At 48.8% G+C, this 12,872-nt stretch overlaps 1 protein-coding gene across 2 annotated transcripts in view; it reads left to right on the forward strand.

Annotated features, from left to right (window-relative positions):
• Positions 1 to 12,872, forward strand: part of ACAD10 (acyl-CoA dehydrogenase family member 10) — a 71,047-nt gene that overhangs the window by 27,082 nt on the left and 31,093 nt on the right. For both annotated transcript variants that reach the window (NM_001136538.2, NM_025247.6), the window contains 2 exons: positions 2,687 to 2,828; positions 8,537 to 8,605. In NM_001136538.2, coding sequence (NP_001130010.1) covers positions 2,687 to 2,828; positions 8,537 to 8,605 — 211 coding nt within the window. The remainder of the gene's footprint in view (positions 1 to 2,686; positions 2,829 to 8,536; positions 8,606 to 12,872) is intronic.

Consider the following 12,872-nt stretch of genomic DNA (forward strand, 5'->3'; position numbering starts at 1 on the left):
ACCCTGTCTCTACTAAAAATACAAAAATTAGCTGGGTGTGGTGGTGGGTGCCTGTAATCCCAGATACTCGGGAGGCTGAGGCAGGAGAATTGCTTGAACCCAGGAGGTGGAGGTTGCAGTCAGCCGAGATCGTGCTACTGCACTCCAGCCTGGGTGACAGAGCAAGACTCCATCTCGGGGGGAAAAAAAAAAAGAATTTGCATTGCTGACCGGGGCGTAGTGGCTCACTTCTGTAATTCCAGCATTTTGGGAGGCCAAGGCAGGTGGATAACTTGAGGCCAGGAGTTCGAGACCAGGCTGACCAACATGGTGAAACCTTGACTCTACTAAAAATACAAAAATTAGCTGGGTGTGGTGGTGCACAACTATAGTCCCAGCTGCTCTGGAGACTGAGGCACAACAATTGCTTGAACCTGGGAGGCAGAGGTTGCAGTGAGCCAAGATTGTGCCACTGCACTCCAGCCTGGGTAACAGAGTGAGACTCCATCTCAAAAAAAAAAAGGAAAAGAAAAAAAAAAAGGGCTGGGCGCAGTGGCTCATGCCTGTAATCCCAGCACTTTGGGAGGCTGAGGCAGGCGGATCACCTGAAGTCAGGAGTTCGAGGTCAGCCTGGCCAACATGGCAAAACCCCATCTCTACTAAAAATATAAAAATTAGCTAGGTGTTTTGGCGGGCGCCTGTAATCCCAGCTACTTGGGAGGCTGAAGCAGGAGAATTGCTTGAACCTGGGAGACTGAGGTTACGGTGAGCTAAGATAGTGCCACTGCAGGCCTGGGTGACAGAGCAAGACTCCGTCCCCCCCCCAAAAAAAAAAGGAAAAATAATGTTGCTGGGTGTGGTAGCTCACCCCTGTAATCCCCAGTACTTTGGGAGGCCGAGATGGGCGGATCATCTGAGGTCAGGAGTTTGAGAGCAGCCTGGCCAATATGGCGAAACCCCATCTCTACTAAAAATACAAAAATTAGCCGGGCATGGTGGCACATGCCTGTAGCCCCAGCTACTTGGGAGGCTAAGACAGGAGAATCACTTGAACCTGGAAGGTGGAGGTTGCAGTGAGCTGAGATCATGCCACTGCACTGCAGCCTGGGCAGCAGAGCAAGGCTCTGTCTCCAAAAAAAAAAAAAAAAGTTGCATGATTTTAAAACGCAACAAATTGTCTCCATTTCTTGGAGACAAGTTTTCTCTTTCCTCCTTCACATTCCCCCCTCAGAAAACCAGGTGCCTTGTGTGCTTTAGAGGACACTTTTGGGCCAGGGGTGGTGGCTCATGCCTGTAATCCTACCACTTTGTGAGGCTGAGGTGGGCAGATCACTTGAGGCCAGGAGTTTGAGACCAGCCTGGTCAACATGGCGAAACTCCATCTCTACTAAAAATACAAAAATTAGCCGAGTGTGGTGGCGCATGCCTGTAGTCCCAGCTACTGGGGAGGCTAAGGCAGAATCGCTTGATCCCAGGAAGCAGAGGTTGCAGTGAGCTGAGATCACGCCACTGCACTCCAGCCTGGACGACAGAGGGAGAGTCCATCTCAAAAACAAAAGAAAACAAAAAAGAAGACTTACAAAATTTTTTAAATTAAATTAAATTAAATTTTTTTTGAGATGGAGTTTTGCCCTTGTTGCCCAGGCTGGAGTGCAATGGCATGATCTCAGCTCACTGCAACCTCCGCCTCTTGGGTTCTAGTGATTCTCCTGCCTCAGCCTCCCGAGTAGCTGGGATTACAGGCACCCACTACCATGCCTGGCTAATTTTTGTATTTTTAGTAGTAGAGACGGGGTTTCACCACGTTGGTCAGGCTGGTCTCAAACTCCTAATCTCAGGTGATCTACCCGCCTTGGCCTCCCAAAGTGCTGGGATTACATGAGCCTCCGCACCTGGCCAAAGAAGACATTTTTCCCAGGTAATAAAGGCTTCACCCACTTGCTCCGTGAAAAAGGCTTTTATTGATGGAGTTTCATGTTAGGATGTTTTCCAGCAATTGGATTATTGGTAGTGGCCTCTGCACAGCTGAGGCGCCCACTCTGGCCAGCCAGAAGAACTCAGGCCGAGTTCTGTTGCTTGCCTACTCTTCTAACCAAGTGAAATCAGTCTATACCCAGGGTTCAGTCTTCTTATGGAGCTGAGAATGAATTAGTTTCACCTCAGCCAGGATCCTGCAAGGGAGCCACAGAATTCAGCCTAGTGCAGTGGGAAATTACATCTCATGAAAGCAGCTTTGGGTCAGGCCGAAGGCCTCTGTGTCACTCCTTTCAGCTGTCCCAGCAGTGTCAGGCAGAGGGACGTGCAAGGGCACCTTTCATCCTCAGGCTTAAAGCATTCCATTTGGCAAGATGGGTTGCCATGGCTGCGTTTGTGCTTGATAAACAGAATGAACATGTTTTTATTCATGGAGCAGGAGCTGGCAGGAAGGACAAAATTGGACACCTGCACAAACTGAGAAAATTACTGTGGTATAAAATGAATGGCCTTTGACAAACTGTAGTGGCATGTGATCCTGGACCTGAGTTGGCGGAGTGTAGACCTGGGACTCAGTCACTCCTAGTAGGCAGAGAAGAGGTACTTTTCTTGCACTGCATGGCAGATGAGGATATTTTGAAGCCCAAATGCAGAACTCATTAGAAAGAAAGAATGTCTGCTCAGATCTGTCCTCCAGGGCTGGTTTGAGTTTTCTTTGTTTTCAAACTTGCAGGCCCATTGGAACTACTTCAGTTTGATCACGGGCAGTCAAATCCAACTTACTACATCAGGCTGGCTAATCGTGATCTAGTTCTGAGGAAGAAGCCCCCAGGGACACTCCTTCCATCTGCCCATGCCATAGAGAGGGAGTTCAGGTAAGTTTTCAGGGCCAGGGGAGCACTTGCCCACTAGCCTCCACTGTGCACAAGCTCAGCCCTAAACTGAAAAGTCAGCACTCCATAAAAATACCCCAAGACATTTAAAACTACAATTATGGGCCAGGCTTGGTGGGTCACACCTATAATCCCAGTGCCTTGGGAGACCGAGGCAAGAGGATCATTGAGCCCAAGAGGTCAAGACCAGCCTAGGCAATGCAGCAAGACCCTGTTTCTACCCCCCATCCCCCCCCAAAAAAAAGCCTGGGTGTGCTGGCATGAACCTGTAGTCACACCTACTCAGGAGGCTGAGGTGGGAGGATTGCTTGAGCTGGGAGGTTAAGGCTACAGTGAGTTACTGTGGCATCATTGCACTCCCACCTGGGAGACATTGTGAAACCCTGCTCCAATCCCCCAAAAAGCCAAATGTAAATTAGAACTATTCTGGAAAACAATATGATACAATTTATTAAAAGCCTCAGCGTTTTCATACTTTCAGACCTAATAATTCCAATTCTGGGGCTCTGTCTTAAAGAAATAATTCTAAGTAGGGGGAAACAGCTGTATGTATTAATATGCTCACCATAAAGTTGTTTAATAATAAGAATTTGGAAGGCCAGGAGCAGTAGCTACCATAGTCCCAGCACTTTGGGAGGCTGAGGCAGGTGGATGACTTGAACTCAGGAATTGAAGACCAGCCTGGACAACATAGTGAAAACCTGTCTCTACCAAAAATACGAAAAATTAGTTGGGTGTGGTGGCACATACCTGTAGTTCCATCTACTCAGGAGGCTGAGGTGGGAGGATCTCTTGAACCTGGGAGGTGGAAGCTGCACTGAGCCGAGGTGGGCACCACTGCACTCCAGCCTGGGTGACAGAGCGAGACTGTGTCTCAAGAAACAAACAAAAGAGTTTGGAAACTACTTAAATATACTATAATCTGTACCATAATCAGGAAATAATTAAGTAAACCTTGGTATATATACTGTCGCAATGACAGTAATAGTAATAGCTAACATTTATCGAATGGTTAATATGTGCCAGGCACTAAAATAAATGCTTCGAATGTCTGTTACTGCAGAGCATCCTCACAACTCTATGATATGTTACAATTATAGTCCTCATTTACAACTGGGAAAAGTAAGCCTTAAAGAAACCAAGGCAGGCAGATTTGCTTTGAGCTCAGGCGTTCGAGCCCAGCCTGGGCAACATGGTGAAACCCTGACTCTACAAAAAATACAAAAATTAGCCGGGTGTTGGTGACTTGGACCTGTAGTCCCAGTTACATGGGAGGCTGAGGCTGGAGAATCACTTGAACCCAGGAAGCAGAGGTTGTAGTGAGCTGAGATCGTACCGCTGCACTCACAAAGTGAGACCCTGTCTCAAAAAAAAAAAAAAAAAAAAATTAACCAGCATACCCAGGGTCATAAAACTAGTAAGCAAGTGCTAGAGTCTGGCTTTATAGCCAGTCTGTGAGATTTCATAGCTCACCTTTAATGATTATGCTGTTATTGCAGCTAATAAAAGTATGCCTATAATAACAAATGTGTATGATAAAATTTTAAGATAGTAAAGGCAGATACAAACTGCATATATAGTATTAGCTGATTTTTTTTTTTTTTTTAGGCAGAGTGTCACTATTGTCCAGGCTGGAGTACAGTGGTGTGATGATACCTCACTATAATCTCGAACTCCTGGGCTCAAGTGATTCTCCGCCTCAGCCTCCCAAATACTACAGGCACATGCCATCATGCCTGGCTAGTTTTAAAAATTTTTTTGTAGAGATGGGGCCTCACTATATTGCCTGAACTCTTGGCCTCAAGCAATCCTCCCACCTTGGCCTCCCAAAGTATTGGGGATTACAGGCATGAGCCAGCGTGCCTGGCCAAGGTTTTTGATTATTAATTCAATTTAACAAAAATGTTGTTACTCAGATATTTTATTTCATCTTGTTTTAGATTTGGTAAGTTGTAATTTCTAAGGAGTCTGTTCATATCACCTAAGCTGTTGAATTTATGATTTATAATATTCCCTTACTATCCTTTTAATATACGTAGGATCTATAGTGATATCCTTTTTTTTTTTTTTTTTTTTTTTTTTTTTTTGAAATGGAGTCTTGCTTTGTCATCCAGGCTGGAGTGCAGTGGCATGATCTTGGCTTATTGCCACCTCCATCTCCCAGGTCCAAGTGATTCTCCTGCCTTAGCCTCCCAAGTAACAGGGATTATAGTCACACGCCACCATGTCCAGCTAATTTACTATTTTTAGTAGAGATGGGGTTTCCCCATGTTGACCAGGCTGGTCTACAACCCCTGATCTCAAGTGATTCACCTGCCTCGGCCTCCCAAAGTGCTGGGATTACAGGCGTGAGCCACTATGCCCACCCTAGTGATATCCTTTCTTTATCACTGCTGGTATTAACTGATAATTTGTATTCTCTCTCTCTTGTTAGTCTAGCTAGGGATTTATCAATTACATTGATCTGGGAACCACAGTTTGGTTTTGTTACTTTTTTCTATTGTTTGTTTTGTTTTGAGGCGGAGTTTTTGCTCTGTCACCCAGGCTGGAGTGCAGTGGCGCAATCTCGGCTCACTGCAACCTCTGCCTCCCAGGTTCAAGTGATTCTCCTGTCTCAGCCTCCTGAGTAGCTGGGATTACAGGCATGCGCCACCATACCCAGGTAATTTTTGTATTTTTAGTAGAGATAGGGTTTCACCATGTTGGTCAGGCTGGTCCGAACTCTTGACCTCGGGTGATCCGCCTGCCTTGGCTTCCCAAAGTGCTGGGACTACAGGTATGAGCCTCTGCGCCTGGCCTGTTTTTCTTTTCTAATACAAGCATTTAAATATATAACTTTTAAGGCTGGGCGCAGTGGCTCCCACTTGTAATCCCAGCACTTTGGGAGGCCGAGCCAGGTGGATCACCTGAGGTCAGGAGTTCAAGACCAGTCTTGCCAACATGGTGAAACCCTGTCTCTAATAAAAATACAAAAGTAAGCCAAGTGTGGTGGTGCACACCTATAGTCCCAGCCAATCTCGAGGCTGAGGCAGGAGAATCTCTTGAACCCAGGAGGCAGAGATTGCAGTGAGCGGAGATTGCAGTGAGCCAAGATTGTGCCATGGCACTCCAGCCTGGGCAACATAATGAGACTCTGTCTCAAAAAAAAAAGAAAAGAAAAAAAGAAGTGCATTGTTTAATTTTCAAATATTTGGGGGTTTTTTTCTTGATATTATATGTGAATGAATTCTAGTTTAATTCCATTGAAGTCTGACAAATACCCTGCAAGATTTCAATTTTTTGGTTTTTTTTGAGATGGAGTCTTGGTCTGTCACCCAGGCCGTAGTGCAGTGGTGCGATCTTGGCTCACTGCAGTCTCCACCTCCTGGGTTCAAGCAATTCTCCTGCCTCAGCCTCCTCAGTAGCTCGGACTACAGGCACATACCACCATGCCTGGCTAATTTTTGTATTTTTAGTAGGTATGGGGTTTCACCACTTCGGCCAGGATGGTCTCAATCTCCTGACCTCATGATCCACCTGCCTCGGCCTCCCGGAGTGCTGGGATTACAGGCATGAGTCACTGCGCCCGGCCTTTTGTTTGTTATTTTTTGAGATGCAGGTTTGCTCTTGTCGCCCAGGCTGCACTGCAGTGGCATGATCTTGGTTCATTGCAACCTCCGCCTCCTGGGTTCAAGTGATTCTCCTGCCTCAGCCTCCTAAGTAGGTACAATTAAAGGCATGAGGCACCATGCCCGGCTAATTTTTGTATTATTTTTATTATTTTTTGAGACAGAGTCTCGCTCTGTTGCCCAGGCTGGAGCGCAGTGGCACGATCTCGGCCCACTGCAAGCTCCGCCTCCCAGGTTCACGCCATTCTCCTGCCTCAGCCTCCCGAGTAGATGGGACTACAGGTGCCCACCACCACTCCTGGCTAATTTTTTGTATTTTTAGTAGAGACGGAGTTTCACCATGTTAGCTAGGATGGTCTCGATCTCCTGACCTCGTGATCCACCCGCCTCAGCCTCCCAAAGTGCTGAGATTGCAGGCATGAGCCACCAAGCCTGGCCCTAATTTTTGTATTTTTAATAGAAATGGGGTTTCGCCGTATTGGCCAGGCTGGTGTTGAACTCCTGACCTCAGGTGATCCGCCCGCCTCGGCCTCCCAAAATGCTGGGATTATAGGCATGAGCTAGTGTGCTGGGCTAGATTTTAATTTTTATTGAAATTTTTTGAGATTTATTTTATGGACCAGCACATGACTTATCTTGGCGAACATATTGTGTTTACTTGAAATAATGTGTATTTTGCAATATCTGAGTGAGTGGTATACAAATGTCCATCAGATCAAGTTGGTAGTGGGTTCAGATGTATGTCTTTAGATAAATCTATTTTTGTCTAATTCTATCATTACTGAGAAAGGAGTGTTAAAAGCTCAACTAAGACTTGTGGATTTCTCCATTTTTTTCTCTTTAATTTTGATCATTTTTACTTGATATATTTCGAAGCTCTGTTGTTTAGCACATACATACTTATGATTGTAATATCTTTCTGATGAACTTGCAGTTGTATCATTTTCAAATGTCCCTCTTTATCTCTGGTGGTACACTGTCGTAAAGGCTGCTTTATTTGATATTAAAGTAGCCTCACCAGCTTTCTTATGCTTAGTGATTGCATAATGCTTCCATTTCCATCCTTGTTTTTGCAGCCTATCTATGTTTATATATTCAGCGCATATCTCTTGTAGACATCATATAATTAGGTCATGTTTTTCTGTCCAGGCTGAAAACATCTGTCTTTTATTTTTATTTTATTTCTTTTATTTATTTTATTTTATTTTTTTTTGAGATGGAGTCTCGCTCTGTCACCCAGGCCGGAGCACAGTGGAGCGATCTTGGCTCATTGCAACCTCCGCCTCCTGGGTTCAAGTGATTCTCATGCTTCAGCCACCCAAGTAGCTGGGATTACAGGCACGCGCCACCATGCCTGGCTAATTTTTGTATTTTTAGTTGAGAAAGGGTTTTACCATGTTGGCCAGGGTGGTCTTGAACTCTTAGGCTCAAGCAGTCCTCCCCCTCAGCCTCCCAAAGTGCTGGGATTACAGGCAGGAGCCACCATGCATGGCCAACTTCTGTCTTTTAATTGGAATCTATTCATCTTTTGAGTTTAATGTAATTATTGATATGTTTGATTTAGGTCTACAATTTCACCATTGGTTTTTTGTTTGTCCCATCATTTTTTTGTTCTTACCTACTTTTGGGTCAATTGAATATTTTTTAGAATTTCATTTTAATTTATGTACCATTTTTAATTCAGAAAAGTAATTTCAGGCCAGGCACAATGGCTTATGCCTGTAATCCCAGGACTTTGGGAGGCCGGGGCAGGTGGATCACCTGAGGTCAGGAATTTGAGAACAGCCTGGCCAACATGGTGAAACCGCGTCTCTACTACAAATATAAAAATTAGCTGGTTGTGGTGGTGCACATCTGTAATCCCAGCTACTCAGGAGGCTGAGGCCTGAGAATGGCTTGAACCTAGGAAGTAGAGGTTGCAGTGAGCCAAGATCGTGCCACTGCACTCCAGCCTGGGTAACAGAGCGAGACTGTGTCTCAAAAAACAAAACAAACAAACAAACAAAAAACAAAGAAAAGTAACTTCAAGAAAATCTCATCAATTCAGCCAGCAATTTTGTTTATTTTCATTTGTCCTTGCAGGATTATGAAAGCCCTTGCAAATGCTGGAGTACCTGTCCCTAACGTTCTTGATCTCTGTGAAGATTCAAGGTAAAGTTCAGATGTTTTTGCTATTGCACTTTCAAGCTACAGGAGAGAAAAGCCCATATGCTAACACAAATTCCAATTTGTTAAAGACAAATAAAATTTGGGTAGGAGGGAAAAGAAACTTTATCACAACCTCTCCCAGAAGTTCTCAGATATTTAAGTTATCCTGCAAGATAAGTATATGCCTGCTTTAGGGATAATTGGTAGAAAACATCTTTTTTAACATTCAAAAAATACATATTAATCTAGTTTCATGTTGCTTGTCTTTATTTATTTTTTTAATCAGAGTCTTTCTAAACTGTTTTGTTTTGTTTTTTTGAGACGGAGTCTCATTCTGTCACCCAGACTGGAGTCTCATTCTGTCACCCAGACTGGAGTCCAGTGGCCTAATCTCGGTTCACTGCAACCTCTGCCTCCTGGGTTCAAGTGATTCTGCTGCCTCAGTCTCCTGAGTAGCTGGGATTACAGGTGCCCCCTACTATGCCCAGCTAGTTTTTGTAATTTTTGAGTAGAGACAGGGTTTCGCCATGTTGGCCATGCTGGTCTCCAACTCCTGACCTCACGTGATCCACCCACTTTGGCCTCCCATGATGCTGGGATTACAAGTGTAAGCCACCGTGCCCGGCCCTAAACTATTTATTTATTTATTTATTTATTTATTTATTTTTTATTGATAATTCTTGGGTGTTTCTCACAGAGGGGGATTTGGCTGGGTCATAGGACAATAGTGGAGGGAAGGTCAGCAGATAAACAAGTGAACAAAGGTCTCTGGTTTTCCTAGCAGAGGACCCTGCGGCCTTCCGCAGTGTTTGTGTCCCTGGGTACTTGAGATTAGGGAGTGGTGATGACTCTTAACGAGCATGCTGCCTTCAAGCTTCTGTTTAACAAAGCACATCTTGCACCGCCCTTAATCCATTTAACCCTGAGTGGACACAGCACATGTTTCAGAGAGCACAGGGTTGGGGGCAAGGTCACAGATCAACAGGATCCCAAGGCAGAAGAAGTTTTCTTAGTACAGAACAAAATGAAAAGTCTCCCATGTCTACTTCTTTCTACACAGACACGGCAACCATCCGATTTCTCAATCTTTTCCCCACCTTTCCTGCCTTTCTATTCCACAAAGCCGCCATTGTCATCCTGGCCCGTTCTCAATGAGCTGTTGGGCACACCTCCCAGACGGGGTGGTGGCCGGGCAGAGGGGCTCCTCACTTCCCAGTAGGGGTGGCCGGGCAGAGGCGCCCCTCACCTCCCGGACGGGGCGGGTGGCCGGGCGGGGGGCTGACCCCCCCCCACCTCCCTCCCGGACGGGGCGGCTGGCCGGGCAGAGGGGCTCCTCACTTCCCAGTAGGGGCGGCCGGGCAGAGGCGCCCCTCACCTCCCAGACGGGGCGGCTAGCCGGGCGGGGGGCTGACCCCCCCACCTCCCTCCCGGACGGGGCGGCTGGCCGGGTGGGGGGCTGACCCCCCCTCCTCCCTCCCGGACGGGGCGGCTGGCCGGGCAGAGGGGCTCCTCACTTCCCAGTAGGGGCGGCCGGGCAGAGGCGCCCCTCACCTCCCAGACGGGGCGGCTGGCCGGGCGGGGGGGCTGACCCCCCCACCTCCCTCCCAGACGGGGCGGCTGTCCAGGCGGGGGGCTGACCCCCCCACCTCCCTCCCGGACGGGGCGGCTGGCCGGGCGGGGGGCTGACCCCCCCGCCTCCCTCCTGGACGGGGCAGCTGGCCGGGCGGGGGGCTGACCCCCCCGCCTCCCTCCCGGACGGGGCGGCTGGCCGGGCAGAGGGGCTCCTCACTTCCCAGTAGGGGCGGCCAGGCAGAGGCGCCCCTCACCTCCCGGACGGGGTGGCTGGCCGGGTGGGGGGCTGACCCCCCCACCTCCCTCCCGGACGGGGCGGCTGGCCGGGCGGGGGGCTGACCCCCCGACCTCCCTCCCGGACGGGGCGGGGGGCTGACCCCCCCCCCCACCTCCCTCCCGGACGGGGTGGCTGCCCGGCGGAGACGCTCCTCACTTCCCAGATGGGGTGGCTGCCGGGCAGAGAGGCTCCTCACTTCTCAGATGGGGCGGCTGCCGGGCGGAGGGCCTCCTCACTTCTCAGACGGGGCGGTTGCCAGGCAGAGGGTCTCCTCACTTCTCAGACAGGGCGGCCGGGCAGGGACGCTCCTCACCTCCCAGACGGGGTCTCGGCCGGGCAGAGGCGCTCCTCACATCCCAGACGGGGCGGCGGGGCAGAGGCGCTCCCCACATCTCAGATGATGGGCGGCCAGGCAGAGACGCTCCTCACTTCCTAGATGTGATGGCGGCCGGGAAGAGGTGCTCCTCACTTCCTAGATGTGATGGCGGCCGGGAAGAGGTGCTCCTCACTTCCTAGATGGGATGGCGTCTGGGCGGATACGCTCCTCACTTTCCAGACTGGGCAGCCAGGCAGAGGGGCTCCTCACATCTCAGACGATGGGTGGCCGGGCAGAGACGCTCCTCACTTCCTAGATGTGATGGCGTCACTTCCTAGATGTGATGGCGGCCGGGAAGAGGTGCTCCTCACTTCCTAGATGGGATGGCGGCGGGGCGGAGACGCTCCTCACTTTCCAGACTGGGCAGCCAGGCAGAGGGGCTCCTCACATCCCAGACGATGGGCAGCCAGGCAGAGACACTCCTCACTTCCCAGACGGGGTGGCGGCCGGGCAGAGGCTGCAATCTCAGCACTTTGGGAGGCCAAGGCAGGCGGCTGGGAGGTGGAGGTTGTAGCGAGCCAAGATCACGCCACTGCACTCCAGCCTGGGCACCATTGAGCACTGAGTGAACGAGACTCCATCTGCAATCCCGGCACCTCGGGAGGCTGAGGCTGGCGGATCACTCGCGGTTAGGGGCTGGAGACCGGCCTGGCCAACACAGCGAAACCCCGTCTCCACCAAAACCAGTCAGGCGTGGCGGCGCGTGCCTGCAATTGCAGGCACTCGGCAGGCTGAGGCAGGAGAATCAGGCAGGGAGGTTGCAGTGAGCTGAGATGGCAGCAGTACAGTCCAGCTTCGGCTCGGCATGAGAGGGAGACCGTGGAAAGAGAGGGAGGGGAGACCGTGGAAAGAGAGGGAGAGGGAGACCGTGGAAAGAGAGGGAGAGGGAGACCGTGGAAAGAGAGGGAGAGGGAGACCGTGGAAAGAGAGGGAGAGGGAGACCGTGGGGAGAGGGAGAGGGAGAAGACTATTTTAAACAGCTTTGTAACATGCTTTTTGAGTGTCTCTTCTTTCCTAATGTTTTAATTATGTAACATTTGAAACCTTCAGAAAAGGTGAAAGAAGAAAAACTAATACAATGAATACCTGTTTACACTTCATCTAGATCAAAAATTAAAACATTGTTAACATTTTGCCACATTTATTTTCTGTATATGTGTGTGTGTATACATGTATACTTTTAACATGTAGATAATGATTTTTTTTGGCTGAACCTTTTGAAATAAGTTTCAGACAGCATGCATCTCTCAAGAATAAAGACATTGACCGGGCATAGTGGCTCACTCCTGTAATCCCAGCACTTAAGGAGGCTGAGGCAGGTAGATCACTTGAGCCCAGGAGTTTGAGACCAGCCAGGGCAACATGGCAAAACCCCATCTCTACAAAAACAAACAAAAAATTAGCCAGGCGTGGAGGTGCACACCTGTAGTCCTACCTACTTACCCGGAAGATTGTGGTGGGAGGATCACCTGAGCCTGGGAGGTGGAGGCTGCAGTGAGCTGTGATCACATCACTGCACTCCAGGCTGGATGATAGAGTGAGACCCTGTCTTTTTTTTTTTCCTTTCTTTTCTTCTTCTTCTTTTTTTTTTGAGATGGAGTCTCACTCTGTTGCCCAGGCTGGAGCGAAATGGCGCGGTCTGGGCACACTGCAACCTCTGCCTCCTGGATTCAAGCAGTTCTCCTGCCTTAGCCTCCCAAGTAGCTGGGATTATAGGCATGTGCCACCACACCCGGCTAATTTTTGTATTTTTAATGGAGACGGGGTTTCGCCTTGTTGGCCAGGCTGGTCTCAAACTCTTGACCTCAAGTGATCCATCCGCCTCGGCCTCCCAAAGTGCTGGATTACAGGTATGAGCCACTGCACCCGGCCGACATTGTTTTTCATAACCACAACACCAGTATACCTAACTAACAATTATTTAATAATAATACTGAATATCTAACCCATGTTCAAATTTCCCCAATCCAAAACATCTTTTGTAATAATTTTTCAACTTGAAACATTTGTAATGGTAGGATTTTCAAAACAATTTTTTAGAGTAG

The sequence above is a fragment of the Homo sapiens genome, chromosome 12 (assembly GCF_000001405.40).
Source record: "Homo sapiens chromosome 12, GRCh38.p14 Primary Assembly".
In the NCBI taxonomy this organism is placed as follows: domain Eukaryota; kingdom Metazoa; phylum Chordata; class Mammalia; order Primates; family Hominidae; genus Homo; species Homo sapiens.